Genomic DNA, 17888 nt, shown 5'->3' on the forward strand with positions numbered 1-17888 from the left:
CCGCCACCACCACCATCACCACCACCATTATCACCACACAGGTCTAACCTCTAACTCTGCACTGTATCATGTCAGAGACCCAGAGACTGAGGCTACTGGGGCCCTTTCTTCTTCTTCCCTATCTCATGCAAGAGTAAGAGGTGAAACAGTTCTAAATGGAGGGTGGAGAACCACCCTCTTTGTTAAAGGGAAACATCACAGGAAGGGAAAGGAGTTGTAAACAGATACATTTATTGAACTATCTCTGTACAGAGGACATGACTTGTGGTGATCTCATTGAATAGACACTACCCATTGTGGGTGGTAGACACTACTGGCCCAGTTTTACAGATCAGTGAACAGAGAACAGAAGAGGTGACACTGCAGGCCCTGACATCACAGAGCTAGTGAAGTGGCAGGTATAGAACTGCACAAGATGTGTGTGAGTCCCAAGATGATGCTCTGCCCCTGGGGGCTCAATGAACTGAGCTGGGCATTACCTGTGCCTCTTGGGGACCAAGCCTAGCCCCTGTCCTGTCAAGTAAGATAGCATGGCTGCACTCTCAACACAGGTCTGGCGTCTCCCAACACTGAAAACAGCTCCATCTAAGACATTAATCATGGGGAATTATTAGAGACAGAGGCACAGAGAACTTTTAATCCAGAAAACACTTTTACCGGTGATGAAAGAACACTTTTATCAATGATGTAAAGCAAAACTATTGTATCTCATGCGTTCTCATTCAACAAACGTTTACTCAACAGCTACCAAGCGCCAGGCACTGTGTGGGCTCTGGAGCTAAGTAAAGAACAAACCTACCATGTCCCTGCCCTCCCAGAGCACACACCTTCTTTTATAGGTGCTGTCAAAGAAAATAGCTTTCCTAAGGCAGAAGCCTTTACATATTCTATCTATACCCAATTCCAACTCTCTGGATGCTTAAGAAAATATTAAACATGAGGAATGAATAAGACACAAGTATATTTTCAACCCCAGGAACTGTACAGAATTTTAATTTTGCTTCATGTGCTGCTTTGAGAAGGACAATGATCAAATCAAACTCTTCTTGAATCAAAAGCATCCCTTCACCAAGGCTACTTTAATACTCGGCAGAATCCACAATCCTCTGGCTGCCCGGGAAGTCATCAAGAGTGGTGCACACACTCACAGGCGCACTGGACTTTAGTCAAAAGTAATGAATTTTGTGATAGAAAATTGATCTCTCCTGTTCCCATAAAGCAGGCTCTGTCGAGAGAGCAAACAAACAGGGCTGTAATAATTAATTGAAAAGAAAGAGTCTAATTAAATTTTTATATTAGTGTACATAATGGCCAGAAATAGTAAACATTGCTGTCAAAAAAAAAGAATCAGAGCTGTAAAACCACTAAAAGCTCTATGACTCTTCAGACAACCAGCAACCACTTACCACTATTCAATGCAAACACAGCTTCATCTTATTTTCTAGCCCATGGTAAGTGGCATAAAGTAGGAAGAATAGAGAACCATGAAATATTTAGCCACTACAACTCGGTACAATTCAACAACTATTTATTGAGTGCTTCCCGTGCCTGACATTGTGATCCATCTATCCCGCCAACATTTCCCGGGTACGTAATATGCACACACACACATGCTCACACACGCACCACCCAACCCAGCTGTGGGGTCTTTGCTGGTGATTAGATGCAATCATTGGCTCCAAGAGATGAGTCCAATTCTGAAAGAGAAAAAGCACATGTACACATAGGACCACAACATGAGGCCATAATTGCCAAGTATCATCTAGGTGGTCCGGGAAACTTATTATGACATGCAGTGAGAGATCATATAATGTTTCCTTAGAAAAGGTGAGATTTATATACAAAGCAACTGAAATATGAAGAAGTACACTAAGGAGAGAAGAATGCTCCAAATATTTATCTACCATTATTATATGATGTGCTTAACGACTACAGATCTTATCCCTGACTGGGTGCCCCTTGCTAGGAGCTTGGCTGCTGCCATCTTTGGGGTTACCAGCCCTGGAATGCTGAGGATGGTGCTTACAGAATTTAAAAGTGACAAGTATGCGACAAGGTTTAAACTGGGCAGGAAACTGACCTACAGCTTCAAGAGCAAAAGGAATGGATAATTTTAACCTAATGGATTTATACAAATCCACAAGTGGACAGAAGGATAATGGTAAAAGGCACCTCTACCCGCCAAAAGCCCTATGAAAGTTGATGAGGCTATTTACAGATGGTATCTTTCTTCTGGAACTTCAGGGCAAGACATCTGTTTAGTCTTTCAGACTACTAGTTTACCCCTCAGATGGGGCCTCAAAGTGTTGCTAGGCTTCTGACCATACCAGAGTTGCCCAAGTCTCCCCAAAGGCACAAATGAGCAGGGAAGCCACTTTAAAAACTTACAATAAATCCTCCTCACAAAGGCTGGCTAATCTCGAAGTTTCCAGTCTTTAAACATTATAATAAGCAGAGGCTACCAGAATCAGAAGGAACGTTAGAGATGATCTAGCCCAACCACCTCATTTTATAAACCTAGGGAGGGAAGTCCATTAAGATGAAGTGACTCAGGTTTACAGGAATTAGCACACAGCTAATCAGGGCCAGTGTCAACACTAAAAACCCAGGTTTTCAGACTCCCAAATAGCATTCTCCCAGACCACAGGCTAATGCCTTCCAAAATGTCACCACTGTGTTTCAGTACTTCAATACTTGGGAAGAGCTTCAAAACAGCCAGGATCGTTAAACTACAGCACTTTTGTACAGATGACCGAAAGCAAGTCTCATGTTACATTAGATTTGTTTACAAGTCCATCTTTCTAACTGGAGGTGTACGCTCTGATGACAGGAAACCTGGCTCAGTCATCAAGGATCCCAAGTAACCCGCACAAAGCATGGCACACAGGAGTTCCAGCAGCCCTAGATGAATGGGCGAAGAGACATTCCCACCAGCAGCCCTGGATGAATGGGCAAAGAGACATTCCCAACAGCAGCCCTGGATGAATGGGGGAAGAGACATTCCCACCAGCAGCCCTGGATGAATGGGTGAAGAGACATTCCCAACAGCAGCCCTGGGTGAATGGGTAAAGAGACATTCCCAACAGCAGCCCTGGTTGAATGGGTGAAGAGACATTCCCAACAGCAGCCCTGGGTGAATGGTTAAAGAGACATTCCCAACAGCAGCCCTGGATGAATGGGGGAAGAGACATTCCCACCAGCAGCACTGGATGAATAGGAGAAGAGACATTCCCACCAGCAGCACTGGATGAATAGGAGAAGAGACATTCCCACCAGCAGCACTAGATGAATGGGCAAAGACACATTCCCACTAGCACAGCCTCAAAGGGAAACGGAGGCTTGGCTTTTTGGAGGATGGCCCTTAGGAATCCATCTGGGGCTCCAGAACAGGTAATTACATCACAGATAATTCCATGATCTCAAATAACTGACACCACGACAAGGGTAGAGCTTGACAGGTGATAACAAGATAAAGAGCAGGTACCATCCTCCATTTAGATGTGGAAGAGAAAGATATAAGACGTGCAATGAAATAAGCTGCCTATGTCATTCAGCCATGGGACTGGCACAGAAGGAAAAGAGGACAAGTAGTACTCAGAGGCCACGGATGCAGGCCTCCTCCATCTCAGCTTACCTGCTCCTGTGCTCAGCTTATAACCATGCAAGGCCTCGGCCTGCCATCTGGGAAATACAGCAAAGTAGATGATATAAGAGAGGCCACCGACCCTCACCACTGTGCAATTCTTCGGCAGCTGGACCACACCAGAAATCATGTTGCCCAAGATATAGCACCCCTCACGGAACCAAGCCTAGTACATGGGTAACAGATTCATTCTGACATAGATAGTAGGTGTTAATTTTTCCCAGGCTGTGATGCTTACACACCCTTTAATACTAATAAAGCAGGAATCAAACCAAAACCCCAAGCTCTTTTTCATTATTATTTCCAGAATATCCATGGAAAAAGTCCTCAACATTTAAAACTCGGAACATAGCAGAAGGGATTTGGGGTGTGCCAGTGGTCCTCAACTGGGGTTGGTTTTGCTCCCCAGGGAACATCTGGCAATATCTGCAGACGTTTTCCATCACCACAACTTGGTGGTGGGTGGGGGTGCTACTGGTACCTGGTGGGTAGAGGCCAAGGATGTTTCCAGACATCCTACAAGGCACAGGACAGCCTCTCACAATAAACAATTCTCTGGCCCCTGCCGGACGCGGTGGCTCAAGCCTGTAATCCCAGCACTTTGGGAGGCCGAGGCGGGCGGATCACAAGGTCAGGAGTTCGAGACCATCCTGCCTAACATGGTGAAACCCTGTCTCTACTAAAAATACAAAACAAATTAGCCGGGTGTGGTGGCGGGCACCTGTCCCAGCTACTAGGGAGGATGAGGCAGGAGAATGCTGTGAACCCGGGAGGCGGAGCTTGCAGTGAGCCGAGATCGTGCCACTGCACTCCAGCCTGGGCGACAGAGCGAGACTCAGTCTCAAAAAAAAAAAAAAAAAAAAAAAAAAAAAAAAGAATTATCTGGCCCCAAATGTCAATAGTACCAAGGCGGAAAAACCCTGGGTGGACCTAAAACTCACAGACTATGCTAACGGTTTCAAGATCATTATCATGATGTGTGCCAGCCATCCCTGCTCCCCCGCCATTTGTGGTAAAGTTCAATGTAACATAAAAATAAACTATTTTCTTAGCTCCCAGTAAGCCCAGTTAACTATTTTCACTGGTGGAGTTAGAGAGACATCCTCCAGGTTTCCTTTAATGCTGCTGCTGACTTGAGGGCTGCAGAGATTCTGACAGGGTGGCTGGAAGCACAAACCTGTTTGTCAATAACAGTGGAGGGGCTAGAAGCACAGGGGTGCCTGCCAGGTAGTAAGAAATCTCCAATGCCCTCAAATAGAGCCAGCGGTAGACTCCTATCTGCCACAGCTTGTACGGGCAGAAATTGCCCTGCACTGGGAGTATCAAAAATCTTAAGTCAGCTACAAGAAAGAAACAGACATCCCGCTTCTGCTACCCAGCTGCCCCTGACCTCATTTCTGGCTCACCCCGAGTCTTCTGACTCTCATATCCAAACATGTGAAGCAAGAGTACAGAATGGAGCCAGCGTGAATCACTGTAACTTGTGGGTAGGAGCATGTCGCTTGAATTGCCATTTGCAGGGAGCCTGGAGGTCTTGCAAAGAAAGAGGGAAGAGTAAAGAGAGAAAAGGCTATTTGTTTATGGGTTAAGGCTAAAGACCAACTGATGAAAGGGGTGAGACCAAAAGAAAAACCATAAACGATGTTTTTCCTTGGCATTCCAAAAGCAAATTGTGGGTTTATCCAAATGCTGCAATTGGAAAAATCAGAGCTATTAGCACATGAAAGGTCATTGGCTAAGCATCACTCGCTGCTGTAAAATGCATCACCTGTGGAAATGCCAGCAGTCATCACCTGCCAGGGATTCCAGAATCAAGGCCACACTTGGCCACAGTCGGTTCCATGGATTCCTAAGGCCAGGGAGCCTGTCCTGTTTGCCTCAGAATCCTCAGGACCTGGGCCCACCAAGGGGTAGGCTGAAGGAATAAACGGCTGCTGGAATGTGAAATGAGGTCTGTCTACAAGAAATGCTACGTTGTTCTGTTTCCTCTTCTTCTTTTGCGCCTAGATTCATTTTGGAATGTGTGATAAAATACACAAAATATGAAATTTGCCACTTAAACAATTTTTTAGGTGTACATACAGTTCAGTGGCATTTGGTGTATTCACACTGTTGTGCAACCATCCCTACTATTTATTTCCAGAACTTCTTCATCATCCCAAACTCTGTACACATTAAATACTAACTCCCCATTCCCACCTTCCCCCAGGCCCTGGTAACCACTAATCCACTTTCTGTCTCTATGTTATTTGTCTATTCTAGGAAAACTTCATATAAGTGGAATCATATGATATTTGTCCTTTTGTATCTGGCTTTTTTCACTCTGCATAATGTTCAAAGTTCATCTATGTTGTGGCCTGTGTCAGAATTTCATTCTTTTCCAAGGCTGAGTAATATTCCATTGTCTGTACAAGACACGTTTTGTTCATCCACCACCTGCTGATGGACGTTTGCGTTGTTTCCCTGAGTGTTGCTTTTTAAACAGGATGGTCTATGGATTTAGCAAAAGCAGTGGTGAAGGGGACTGAGGATGAAGAACAGACTCAGACTCAATCTGTTACTAACTCCCCGTGTGATCTTAGGACCACATGGGTCTCCTCTGTGTTTTCAGTTGTAAAATTGAGGAACTGAATCAGACCAGTCTTCTCCAGCGTATTTTTGGCCACCATTTATAGTAACAAATAGGCTTCATTCTGACTGAGTTCACACAAATATACCATACATAACTGAAACAAAGGTTTCACAAAATAATAGCCTCCTCTGTGCAATGCACTCTGGTATTTCTTATTCTACTGTATTATTTTTTGTAAAACAAAAAGATAGTTGTAACCCCTACATTGATTTCATAACCCATTACGGAGTGGTAATCTTTATTTTAGATTACTTGTTCCCAAATTGGTGTTCCTTGGAATATGTTGATCAGTGTGCTGTGATTTTTTTAATGTCTGTTTGATAAAATGTAGGAAATATCTTAATTTTGGCTTACTACAAAGAAGTTATAATGAGCTGCGTTTCCCAAACTTATTGACCACGGGCAACTTCATGTATACTCAAAACTAAAGTCCTAACAACCCCAGGAAGCTGTTCATGTGGTGTCCCACCTAAGGACTCTAAACTGGGTGATTTTAGGTTCTTTTCTGCTGCAATATTCTATGATTAAGACACTAATTCTCAACATGTATTTTCTGTTGAACAGCGCAGAGAGGGGCAGACACCCTGCACAGTTAACTATGACTCACTAAGTCAATGATTTTAAATACCATATCCAGCTCTCCAGGGTCAGGAAAATTATATACATATATTTTAATAACAGACTTCATCTTTTAAGAGAAATTTTAAGCTCACAACAAAAGTGAGCAAAAAGTACAGTCAGTTCCCATATACCCTTACCCCCATCCCCGGTCTCCATGGCCTCTCCCACCATCAACACCCTATATAATTTTCTTAATGTCCCTCTTGTGATTCTGATGCTTCACTCCTTGTCCCTTAATGCTGGTCTAAAGACTTTGTTAAAACGAAATTTTCCAGACAAAAATCCACTCAAGATGGATTAAAACTTTAATTCAATGTTAAGACTTGAAACTGTTAAACTAGAAGAAAACAAAGGGGGAAAACTCCATGACATTGGTCTTGGCGATGATTTTTTGGATACGACACCAAAAGTACAGGCACAAAAGCAAACATAAGTGGGACTACATCAAACTAAAAAGTTTTTTGTACAGCAAAGGAAATAGTCTACAAAATGAAAAAGGCAACCTACAGGACGGAGAAAATACTTGCAAAGCACATATCCAATAAAGAGTTAATATCCACAATAGAAAGGCACTCATACAACTCAACAGCAAAACAAAACAAAACAAAAAACTAAACAAATCCCACAAATAACCCAGTTTAAAAATGGGTAAAGAACCTGAATAAACATTTTTCTAAAGAAGACACACAAATATCCAGCAGGTATATGAAAAGGTGCTCAACATCACTAATCATCAGGGAAATGCAAATAAAGCCACAATGAGATACCACCTCACATCTGTAAGAATGGCTACTATCAGAAAGACTGTCTGTACTGGTGAGGACATGGAGAAAAGGAAACTCTAATACCTTGTTGGTGGAAATGTAATTTGGTTCAGCACCAGGCCGGGCTCGGTGGCTCACGCCTGTAATCCCAGCACTTGGGAAGCCGAGGCAGGTGGATCACGAGGTCAGGAGTTCAAGACCAGCCTGGCCAAGATGGTGAAACCCCGTCTCTAATAAAAATACAAAAAAAAATTAGCAGGCACCTGTAATCCCAGCTACTCGGGAGGCTGAGGCAGGAGAATCACTTGAACTCAGAGGGCAGAGGTTGCAGTGAGCCAAGATCGCGCCACTGCACTCCAGCCTGGGTGAGAGAGCGAGACTCCGTCTCAAAAGAAAAAAAAAAAAGGCTCAGCACCTATTACGAAGAACAGTATGGAGGTTCCTTAGAGTATTAAAAACAGAACAGCTGGGTGTGGTGGCTCATGCCTGTAATCCCAGCACTTGCAGATCACCTGAGGTCAGAAGCTCGAGACCAGCCTGGCCAACATGGTGAAACCACATCTCTACTAAAAATACAAAACAATTAGCCAGGCATGGTGGCGCCTGCCTGTAATCCCAGCTAACTGGGAGGCTGAGGCATGAGAATCGCTTGACAGAGGTTGCAGTGAGCCGAGATGGCGCCAACTGCACTCCAGCCTGGGTGAACACAGAGAGACTATTAAAAAAAAAAAAAAAAAAAAAAAAAAACAGAACCCCCATAAGATCCAGCAATTCCACTTCTGGGTATATATCCAAAGGAAATAAAGTCACTATTTCAAAGAGATACTATATCTGCATGGCACTCTCAATTTCATTGCAGCATTATTCACAATAGCCAAAATATGGAAACAACCAAAGTGTCCACTGACAGATAAATTAATGAAGAAAATGTGGTGTGTATATATATATATATATATATATATATATATATATATATATATGTATATAAATGTGGTATACACACACACACACACACACACAAAGGAATATTACTTGACCTTAGAAAAGAAGGAAATCCTGCCATTTTTGACAGCATGGATGGACCTAGAGGACATCATGCTACATGAAACAAGCCAGACACAGAAACACAAATAGCACATGATCTCACTTATATATGGAATTTTAAAAAGGCAAACTCACAGAAACAGAGAATAGAAGGGTGGTTACCAGGGGTTGGGGTTGGGGAGTGAGGCGGGCTGGGGGAAACGAGATGATGTTGGTCAAAGGGTAAAAACTTGCAGTTATAAAATGAGTAAGTTGGCTGGATGTGGTGGCTCACGCCTGTAATCCCAGCACTTTGGGAGGATGAGGCAGGTGGATCACCTGAGGTCAGGAGTTTGAGACCAGCCTGGCCAACATGGCAAAACCCTGTCTCTACTAAAAATACAAAAATTAGCCAAGTGTGGTGGTGCACACCTGTAGTCTCAGCTATTCGAGAGGCTGGAGCAGGAGAATGGCTTGAACCTGGGAGGTGGAGATTGCAGTGAGCCAAGATCATGCCACTGCACTCCAGCCTGGGTGAGAGAACAAGACTTCATCAAACATAAAATAAAATAAAATAAAATAAAAGCCCTAGAGACCTAATTTACAGCACAGAGACTACAGTTAATAATACTGTATTTTATACTTTAAATTTGCTAATAAAAGAGTAGATTTGTTTTGTTTTGTTTTGTTCTTTGTTTGTTTTGTTTTGAGACAGAATCTTGCTCCTTGTTTTGAGACAGAATCTTGCTCCGTCACCCAGGCTGGAGTGCAATGGTGCGATCTCAGCTCACTGCAACCTCCGCCTCGCAGGTTCAAGCAATTCCCTGCCTCAGCCGCCCCAGTAGCTGGGATTACAGGCGTGCACCACCACACCCAGCTAATTTTTGTATTTTTAGTAGAGATGGGGTTTCACCATCTTGGCCAGGCTGGTCTTGAACTCCTGACCCCATGATCTGCCCGCCTCAGCCTCCCCAAGTGCTGGGATTACAGACCTGAAAAAGAGTAGAACTTAACTATTTTCATATCACACACACACACACACACACACACACACACACACACACACACACAAATGGTAACTATATGAGGTAATAGATATGTTAAACTGTGGTAATCATTTTACAATGTGTGTATCACAACATCACACTGTACGCCTTAAATATCCACAATTTTTATTCATCAATTATATTTCAATAAAGCTGGGGGCACAGAAGGACCAAAAACCCCCAAGTTTTCCAAGACTAATTGTAAAACAACTCAGTGGTCCAGCACATTACTTTCAGTTGAGTCTCTCAAACTGAGTGTCATTCCTACACCTGCTTAGATTACTGAAAACATCCTCACATGTAGCGTTTGGCCACAAGTGGTCTATTGAACTTGGCACAGCCAAAATGACCAACAGTGCTCATCATTCCTACGATCTAAGTCTTGCCTCAGCAAATATGCTATTTACAGACACTATTTTGATAATTATTTAGAGCTTAATTTTTATACACTTGGGTCAACCAGAAATCAGCCAGGCATTTTTGGAAGAATCTTCACTGCTTGTTCCTTAACAAAATAAAATTAACCCTGTGTCTTTAATCCATTTTATGACTTCAATATCAAATAAAAGGATGCTAATTATATCTATTCATTTTTATTTCACAAATATTTACTGTGTACAATATTAGAGATTCAGGACGGTGGTTAGAGAGATTTTCATTTTTAAAGAATGTTAACAAAATATGTTGCTCTAACAACAATAATTTTTTTTAAAAAAACTAAATTCAAAAGATGGTGAGAGTCCTTGTCAGTTCTCCCTACAGACATATCAAAAACAAATACATATAAGAAATGATTAGAAAGATAGCTGAAGTATAGACATTTATTCCCAAAATGACTGAGAGTTTAAGAGGAACAAAACAAGAGGAAACCCTCATTTGCTCTAAGAAGAATTCATGGGCAAGAAAGCTTTATAATATGGTGAGGTTTGACTCTCTTTTTTTCTTATTAAACAAACGTATAAATAATCCCTAAAATATTGTGTGATTCTCCCCACCCTACATTCGCTTTTCGATTTTGTCTAAAACAGAAGTGATCCTTACACACACACACACACACACACACACACACACACATTCATAATCCTTAGTCACCCCTTCCCCATTCTCCTAACGGTGCCTCCATCCATCCATCCATCCATCCATCCATCCATTCATCCATCCACACAGAATCCTCTCTGCTTCCTCCCCACGCCTCCCCCATCAATTTCCATGGCTCTCCCTCTAATTGTCATTGTTTCCTCACCATTGCCAGTTTCCAATGGCAGGAACTCTCACCTCCCATCTCTCTTACTCTCACTATGCTACAAACCCTAAATTCCTTTTTAACAAGTGATATGTCATTCTTCCTTTCCAAAGCTCATCGAAGAATGTTTCTGCAGAAGACAGTGACCACAAGGTGGCAAATTACCTTGAGAAGAACTCAGGCTATGGGGTCAGAACAGTCAGATGAGGCCGGCTCAGGTCCCAGCTCAGCCATCTGCAAGCTGTGTGACCTGCTCTTTATAGGCACGTGATAGCCTCTCACATGCTGTCTGTATACCAAGTCTGACACACAGTAGGTGCCCAATAAATGCTTGGTTTTCTGCCTCTCAATCAAAATCCAGAATGGTTTGGAGTCCAAAGCAGATGGAATAAAATAAATTTAAAATTCTTTACAGTCCTATAGTGCTAAACAGCTTACTTTCATAGTTCATTTCTTAGAAGCCTAGAATATCGGATGGAAATAGATTTTTGTTTTACTCTACATCAAAGAGTTGTATTAGAGAAATTCAGGTTGGTTTTCCTATAACTTTAACTTCAACAACTCTGATGATGGAACATGCCACATCTAAGGGGTGAGGGTAAGAAAGGGTGGTGTTAGAAAGAGGGAACTTCAAAGGGCTTTAATAAGAATAAAATTCCATTGGAGTCACCGTATGTCCAATCCTTCCTTTCTCAAGAACAATCCATTAAAAATCAGGGAGGGGGAGGTGCCCAAGAGAGGGGTCCTTAGGTAGTCAGGCCATGGTATGCCGCCAGAATGCCTCCAGAAAAATCAGGACCTCTGGCACCACAGATTTGTGAGTTCTGCACACAGATTTGGTAGTACAAAGAATTGCGATCTTCCTCTTTTAGCAGGTAGAGAAGGATAGCATTTGGGTGACTTTCTTCCTATGGGATCAAAGTGCGACAGGGAGATTTCCTGGGAGAGAAAAGCAAGATTGGGAGCTGGGAGGAGCCGGGCTTTGTTCTCATCAAAGAAGAAAAGAATGTAGGGGAAAAAAACTAATGAGTGACTGCCAAGAGATTTAAACACGGATTATGTATCTGGTAGAGAAAGAACACAATTGAGTGTTTGGGCTGGCCTGGGGTGAAAACTTTTCCCATTATGACTGGGGCAGGGAGAGCTCCGGCGCCTTACCTTTCAAGTGCCAGTTCCGCAGAAATGTACAGAGGAGCAGAGGGAGGCTTCTTTTCAAAGGAATAATGAACAAGACAAAGCTGGAGCAATTCCTGGCCTGCACCACCGTCAGCACATTTGCATTCTCTTTTCTTTTCTTTTTTTTTTTTGAGACGGAGTCTTGCTCTGTCACCAGGCTAGAGTGCAGTGGCACAATCTCAGCTCACTGCAACCTCTGCCTCCTAGGTTCAAGCAATTCTCCTGCCTCAGCCTCCTGAGTAGCTGGAATTACAGGCACGTGTCACCAAGCCCAGCTAATTTTTGTATTTTTAGTAGGGATGGGGTTTCACCATGTTGGCCAGGCTGGTCTTGAACTCCTGACCTCAGGTGATCTGCCTGCCTCAGCCTCCCAAAGTGCTGGGGTTACAGGCGTGAGCCACCGTGCCCAGCCACATTTACATTTTCTACAGCAGCTGCAAAAAAGTTTCCTCCTGTGACAATATTTGGTGCCTTGGAGTCAACAGCCTGGAATTTATAACCTTTCTATCCCTGGGCAGCCTGTCTTAGGCTTGAAGAATGACCAGGTCCAAACAGTCTGGCCTCGTGCATACCCAGAGGGACACTCGGACCTTGGCAGACAGATGGGGAAGTAGATGGAAGGTCAGAAACACCAACACTGCAAAATTGCTAAATTGTCTTTCATAGAGTCCAGCTTCTCCCTCCCCCTCCAAACATCTGGACTTGTGACTGTAAAGGGGAGGAGGGTAGCCAATGATTTCTGGCATCCCAGAGCAACTAAAGGAAAATATTTTTCACTACTCTTATAATCTATGCTATGCATTCTAAGAGAAATCATTGATAAATAATATATTTTGAATAACACCTACATGTGAAGTTTATAGCACCAGGAGAACTTGCAAACAGTCCTGGTTTTCACAGATCTTAAATCTAGGGGAAAGCACAGAACATAAAGTATAAAAAGATTCCTCACAATACAAAACCATATATATAAGGGCCAAACTGGTATGCAGCCGGCTGGGCGCGGTGGCTCACGCCTGTAATCCCAGCACTTTGGGAGGCCGAAGTGGGTAGATCATCTGAGGTCAGGAGTGCAAGACCAGCCTGGCCAACATGGTGAAACCTCGTCTCTACTAAAAATACAGAAATTAGTCAGGTGTGGTGATGGGTGCCTGTAATCCCAGCTACTCGGAGGCTGAGGGAGAAGAATCACTTGAACCTGGGGGTGGGCAGGGAGGCATGGAGGAGGCTGCAGTGAGCCAAGATCATACCACTTCACTCCAGCCTGGGTGAAAGGGCAAAACTCTGTCTCAAAGAAAAAAAATATTTGGTATGCAGCATTTGCAGAAACAAGACTGCACAATTATTAAAAGACAGTGGCAATGGTGAGGAAGGAGAAATCAAATTCAATGACTTTCCCTGGGCCAGGCACAAGGGCTAGGCATTTGGTACATCATTTTACTTAATTTAATCCCTAAAGCACTCGTTTAAGACAAGTATTCTTTTTGTTGGTTTGTTTTTGAGACAGAGTTTCACTCTTGTTACCCAGGCTGGAGTGCAACGGTGCGATCTCGGCTCACTGCAACCTCTGCCTCCTGGGTGAGTTGCTGGGATTACAGGTGCCTGCCACCATACCCAGCTAATTTTTGTTCTTTTTAGGAGAGACGAGGTTTTGCCACGTTGGCCAGGCTGGTCTCAAACCCCTGACCTCAGGTGATCTGCCCGCCTCGGCCTCCCAAAGTGCTGAGATTACAGGTGTGAGCCACCACGCCCAGCCTAAGACAAGTATTCTTATGCCACAATGAGTAACAAAACAGAGGCTCAGGGACCAGAGGCTTCAGGTAACATGTCCAAGGTCACACAGCTAGTGAGTGGCCCAGGGAGGCTCTAACCTGAGCCTCTTTCTAGACCTAACTAAGATCTGCTCTGAGCCTGCTGCGACATTGGCCAACCTGCAGGAGCTGGGAGGAAGCATGGAGACCCTCCAGTCCCCGTCTGCACCAGGGCAAGCGTGTGGTTCTCTCGGATCCTGCTCCTTCCAATGCTGGGGAGGCAGAAGGACCTCTCTGGGGCACTAAAGCTCATGGGAGACAGGCCCAGGACAGAGTTTCTGACTCCTGCTCTACTGCGGGCAGGATCGGGCAGGCGGGGAAGCCAGAGTCACGCTTTGAGAGCTTCAGACTGTGGGATCTTTTTCATTTCTCTGCTTCCTCACTGTTTCCTCGGACTGGCCTCCTCCTCCTGAGGGTGACAGAGCCGCTGTGCCCATCTGCAGCACCAATTCGGGGCCACTCCCCTGCAAATGCAGGTGAAGCTAAGCCTGGGCTGGAGGCCTGGGGGCTGGTGAATGCACCAAAGCCAGGCCAGAACCCCCACCTCCCACGCGGGACTCTGCTGGGAAGCTTGAAATGCAGGGAAATCTCTTGATGTGTTTCTCATCAGTAGAAAAGAATAGGAGGGTTTGGGGGTGGGGGGCAATTTCCAGTTCAGAAGAATCCTAAGATAAGAAACTCTGCTCTCCTTACAGTTAAAACAAACAAACAAAAAGCTTTCATTCAGAAGACCCACAGCTGCAAAGAGAAAGAGAGAGGAAAGAGAAGAAGGAAGGGGGGTGCAGGGGAAGGAGGTAAAAAAAGCTACTAAAATTTGGTAATGTTTTTTCCCCTCTGAATGTGTTTTTCCCATTCATTTTTCTTCTGCCCAAACTGGTTGGGGCGTGTGTTCTGAGGGAAGGGGGAAACTGATGTGTGTTAGAGAGACATATGTTGGAATAAGCAGCTCATAAACAGACTTTGACCAAAACTTTCCATTTAAAAGTAAACACACAGGAAACATGTCTCAACTTGGACTATGGTGATTAAGCAACTCAATTTGAGAAGATAAGGATTTTTTTTAATGTGTCTCAATGGTTTATGGAGGTTTTCTCCAGATGATTTAAAAATCAGCAAAAGTTAGGAATTAATGTGGAATCTCTGATGCTTCCCACGCTCTTTCCGTACCTCTCACATCCATGGCAGAGTCTCAGAGATGCTTTGACAAATAATGCAACACGAACCTTATGTAAGAAAAACAAAAGGTTATGAATGTGATCAGAGACTCTGGCCAAGAACATGTGCTTCCACAAAACAAGGACACCAGTTTGGCTCTTCCATGGAGATTTATGCAAAGGGTGGGTGTTATTCTCATCAATTCAGTGGATAAACAATAGGGGGGAGGTTGGGATGATTTGATGGACAGCTTTTGGAAATGATCTTCTGCTTGGCAAAACACTGCCGTGATCATTTTATTCACACGGAAGGAAATGCAAAGAAGTGTCACTAAAACAAGGGAGGTAATTGTAGGGCATGAATCAAAAAGCTGGATGACACAGAACGAAGAGTAACTGAATTAGTCCCATCACGGTCTTGAAATCTGCACTTAATTTCAAGAGAAGAGCCTGACCTCTCATTGCTGGCTAACAAAGCTATGCATCTATTCCCTCAAGTTTCATTTCCACCTTATAAACTACAAACACCATGTTGCAGAGGGATATGCCTCGACTGTCATGGCAGCCCAAGAAACTCAGAAACAACATCTCAAGAGCTGGAAGCGATAACCCTGCAGTTCTCCAGTAAGAGTTAAATCTTGGGACGACCCTGGCAGCTGGTTGTCTAGCCTCGACTGGCATCCCTGGGGGTAGCTCATTCTACCTTCATCCCCTTCATCTGTCCACCCACCCAACAACTCTAGCATTTACCCAGCTTCTGTTATGTGCCTGGCACACTGTCAGATGCTGTTCTGTCTTGACCCCAAATCCTTCTTTCTATAACTTCGATCCATCAAGTCCAAATCTGTCCTCTCTGATGGTGAGGATGGCTGGCATGCTAACCTTCTGAAGGTGCTCTTCCCGGGTTACACATTCCCTGTTCTTCAACAGTAACACATGGATGCCCCTGCCAACCTGATCGCTTTCCTTATCAATCCCCCATTCTATGTTCTTCAAATCTTTTATGAATGATGGGTTCCACTTCCCATCTAATTATACTGCACCTCTACTTCTTAATCTCCCTCCTTTGTTAATCTAGAAAATTTGCAAGTATTTAGTGTGACCAGAACTTGGAGAAGACAAAATGCTGAGATCAAAAATATTCTATGAGACCATCTTAGATGTGCTAACAGGTTTTTATTTTCTATTATTGATGAAAAATGTGCTATTTTTAAGCTTCTACAAGACAAAGTGCCGCCTGTTGTTTCACGTTGTACACGGTTGATTTCATGCACTTTTGACAGTTTTCCTATTTCTAACATGAGGATCAATTTCTCCTCCTCTGGGAAGGCGAGGGGTTTGACAAATATGCAGAATGCAGGTGAGCCCCACTTTGCAGACACTTCCCCCTCTAACGATGCCTAAGGCGTCGCTGTGCTCAGGAATCCTTGGCTGGCTATCCCGAGAAGTAAATACTCACCAAGCAAATCTGCAAAGACTCCAGGCACCTACTAGGCCCATCAACACTGCAACTTTCTTCTCATGAGGTATTGGAAACACAGAGTTTCTTTGGTATCCATCATCTCAGGAGTTAGGTCAATGGAAATTTATCTGTAGTAGACTTAAAGAACTTCTAACGCTTTGGCTATTAAAATACAAACCAGGGACTGAGGGCACCCCAGGAGGTCAGAAGATAAAAAGGTAACTCGGAGTGGTTCTCTCAGTCACGAGTTTGACTCAGTACCTGAGTAAAATAGATATAATCAGCCCAGCTACTTAAACATTCAACTTTCAAAGTGAGTGTGAAAACAGAATGAAATTGGATGACTGGGCATAATATTCATGAGCTACCCCTGATACAAAGTGCTCAAAGATAACAGGGACTGTTTTCCATTTAAATAAAACAACACAGGATTGACTCAGAATTAAACGTATAATGAACAGCATACCGAAGGCAAAATGCTGAGAACAAAATTATTCTATGAGACCAACTCAGGAAATATAATGGAAGTCAAAAGACAACATGATTTGATATGAAAATAAAATTATAGCCAACTAATGGATTTTTAAAGCTCCCACTGTCAATGAGCACTGTGTTTTTTAAAGAGTGTGCCCTTACAATTTAAGCCTTTCCTATTCTTCATCCCCTCCAATTTTTTAACAAAATATAATGTATATTTGGAAGTGCTACCACTTTGAAAGCCCCGGTATTCAATCCCACATCTACTTTACTGCATTAATTTACCACACTCTCCTACCTGTTTAGCACCATGAAGCTTCATATTGATTTTTTTAAATTTAATATTCTTTCAAAAATTACTCCCAGCAAAAAGTGCTGTTTAAACATAATCTTTCAAAATGCATAATGCCTCACGCTTTTAAATTAAACTTATCCAAATAAGTGTATTGAATATGAGGGGCATTTAAAAAACTATTTCGGGTTTCCATCAAATATGTTGCTTTCAAGTAAATATATTTGTAATAATGAAGCAACTAATCGAAATCCTTGCAATCTTTCTTTATGCTTGACTGAATTAACACTTGCAATGACACCACAATCTAACAATTAAAGTCCTTCAATGTAAGTTAAAACTGATTTCATTGTGGCTTTGCAGTGCTTCTGCCAACTATTAAACGCACAACACTCTGAATAACTAGAATGAAAGATGTCTTATAAATTAAAAAATTATTGGATCCTATCCAAGCAATGAATAAGCTATTCCTTGCTGTGTGCAAATTCAGCATTCTGAGTGGAGGAATTAACACCGTTATGTTAACAAGATTAACATTTTAAGG

General features: G+C 43.1%; 1 protein-coding gene across 2 annotated transcripts in view, besides 7 other annotated features; it reads right to left on the reverse strand.

Moving 5' to 3' along the window:
- Nucleotides 1-17888, reverse strand: part of FOXN3 (forkhead box N3) — a 462989-nt gene that overhangs the window by 169193 nt on the left and 275908 nt on the right. The window lies entirely within an intron of this gene.
- Nucleotides 4746-4995: an enhancer, noted in NCBI's record as "active region_8856". NCBI's record gives its function as "activates an Ori minimal core promoter by ATAC-STARR-seq in GM12878 lymphoblastoid cells {active_cell/tissue: GM12878}" and the evidence as "EXISTENCE:reporter gene assay evidence [ECO:0000049][PMID:35858748]".
- Nucleotides 5935-5984: an enhancer, noted in NCBI's record as "active region_8857". NCBI's record gives its function as "activates an Ori minimal core promoter by ATAC-STARR-seq in GM12878 lymphoblastoid cells {active_cell/tissue: GM12878}" and the evidence as "EXISTENCE:reporter gene assay evidence [ECO:0000049][PMID:35858748]".
- Nucleotides 13984-14253: an enhancer, noted in NCBI's record as "active region_8858". NCBI's record gives its function as "activates an Ori minimal core promoter by ATAC-STARR-seq in GM12878 lymphoblastoid cells {active_cell/tissue: GM12878}" and the evidence as "EXISTENCE:reporter gene assay evidence [ECO:0000049][PMID:35858748]".
- Nucleotides 14776-15070: an enhancer, noted in NCBI's record as "tiled region #10244; HepG2 Activating DNase matched - State 5:Enh". NCBI's record gives its function as "activates a minimal TATA promoter and a strong SV40 promoter by Sharpr-MPRA in HepG2 cells {active_cell/tissue: HepG2}" and the evidence as "EXISTENCE:reporter gene assay evidence [ECO:0000049][PMID:27701403]".
- Nucleotides 14776-15473: a biological region, named in NCBI's record as "Sharpr-MPRA regulatory region 10244".
- Nucleotides 14972-15473: an enhancer, noted in NCBI's record as "H3K4me1 hESC enhancer chr14:89806685-89807186 (GRCh37/hg19 assembly coordinates)". NCBI's record gives its function as "activates a minimal SCP1, AML or CMV promoter by ChIP-STARR-seq in primed H9 embryonic stem cells {active_cell/tissue: H9 hESC(primed)}" and the evidence as "EXISTENCE:reporter gene assay evidence [ECO:0000049][PMID:30033119]".
- Nucleotides 15474-15973: an enhancer, noted in NCBI's record as "H3K4me1 hESC enhancer chr14:89807187-89807686 (GRCh37/hg19 assembly coordinates)". NCBI's record gives its function as "activates a minimal SCP1, AML or CMV promoter by ChIP-STARR-seq in primed H9 embryonic stem cells {active_cell/tissue: H9 hESC(primed)}" and the evidence as "EXISTENCE:reporter gene assay evidence [ECO:0000049][PMID:30033119]".

Source organism: Homo sapiens, chromosome 14 (assembly GCF_000001405.40).
Source record: "Homo sapiens chromosome 14, GRCh38.p14 Primary Assembly".
Taxonomy (NCBI): Eukaryota; Metazoa; Chordata; class Mammalia; order Primates; family Hominidae; genus Homo; species Homo sapiens.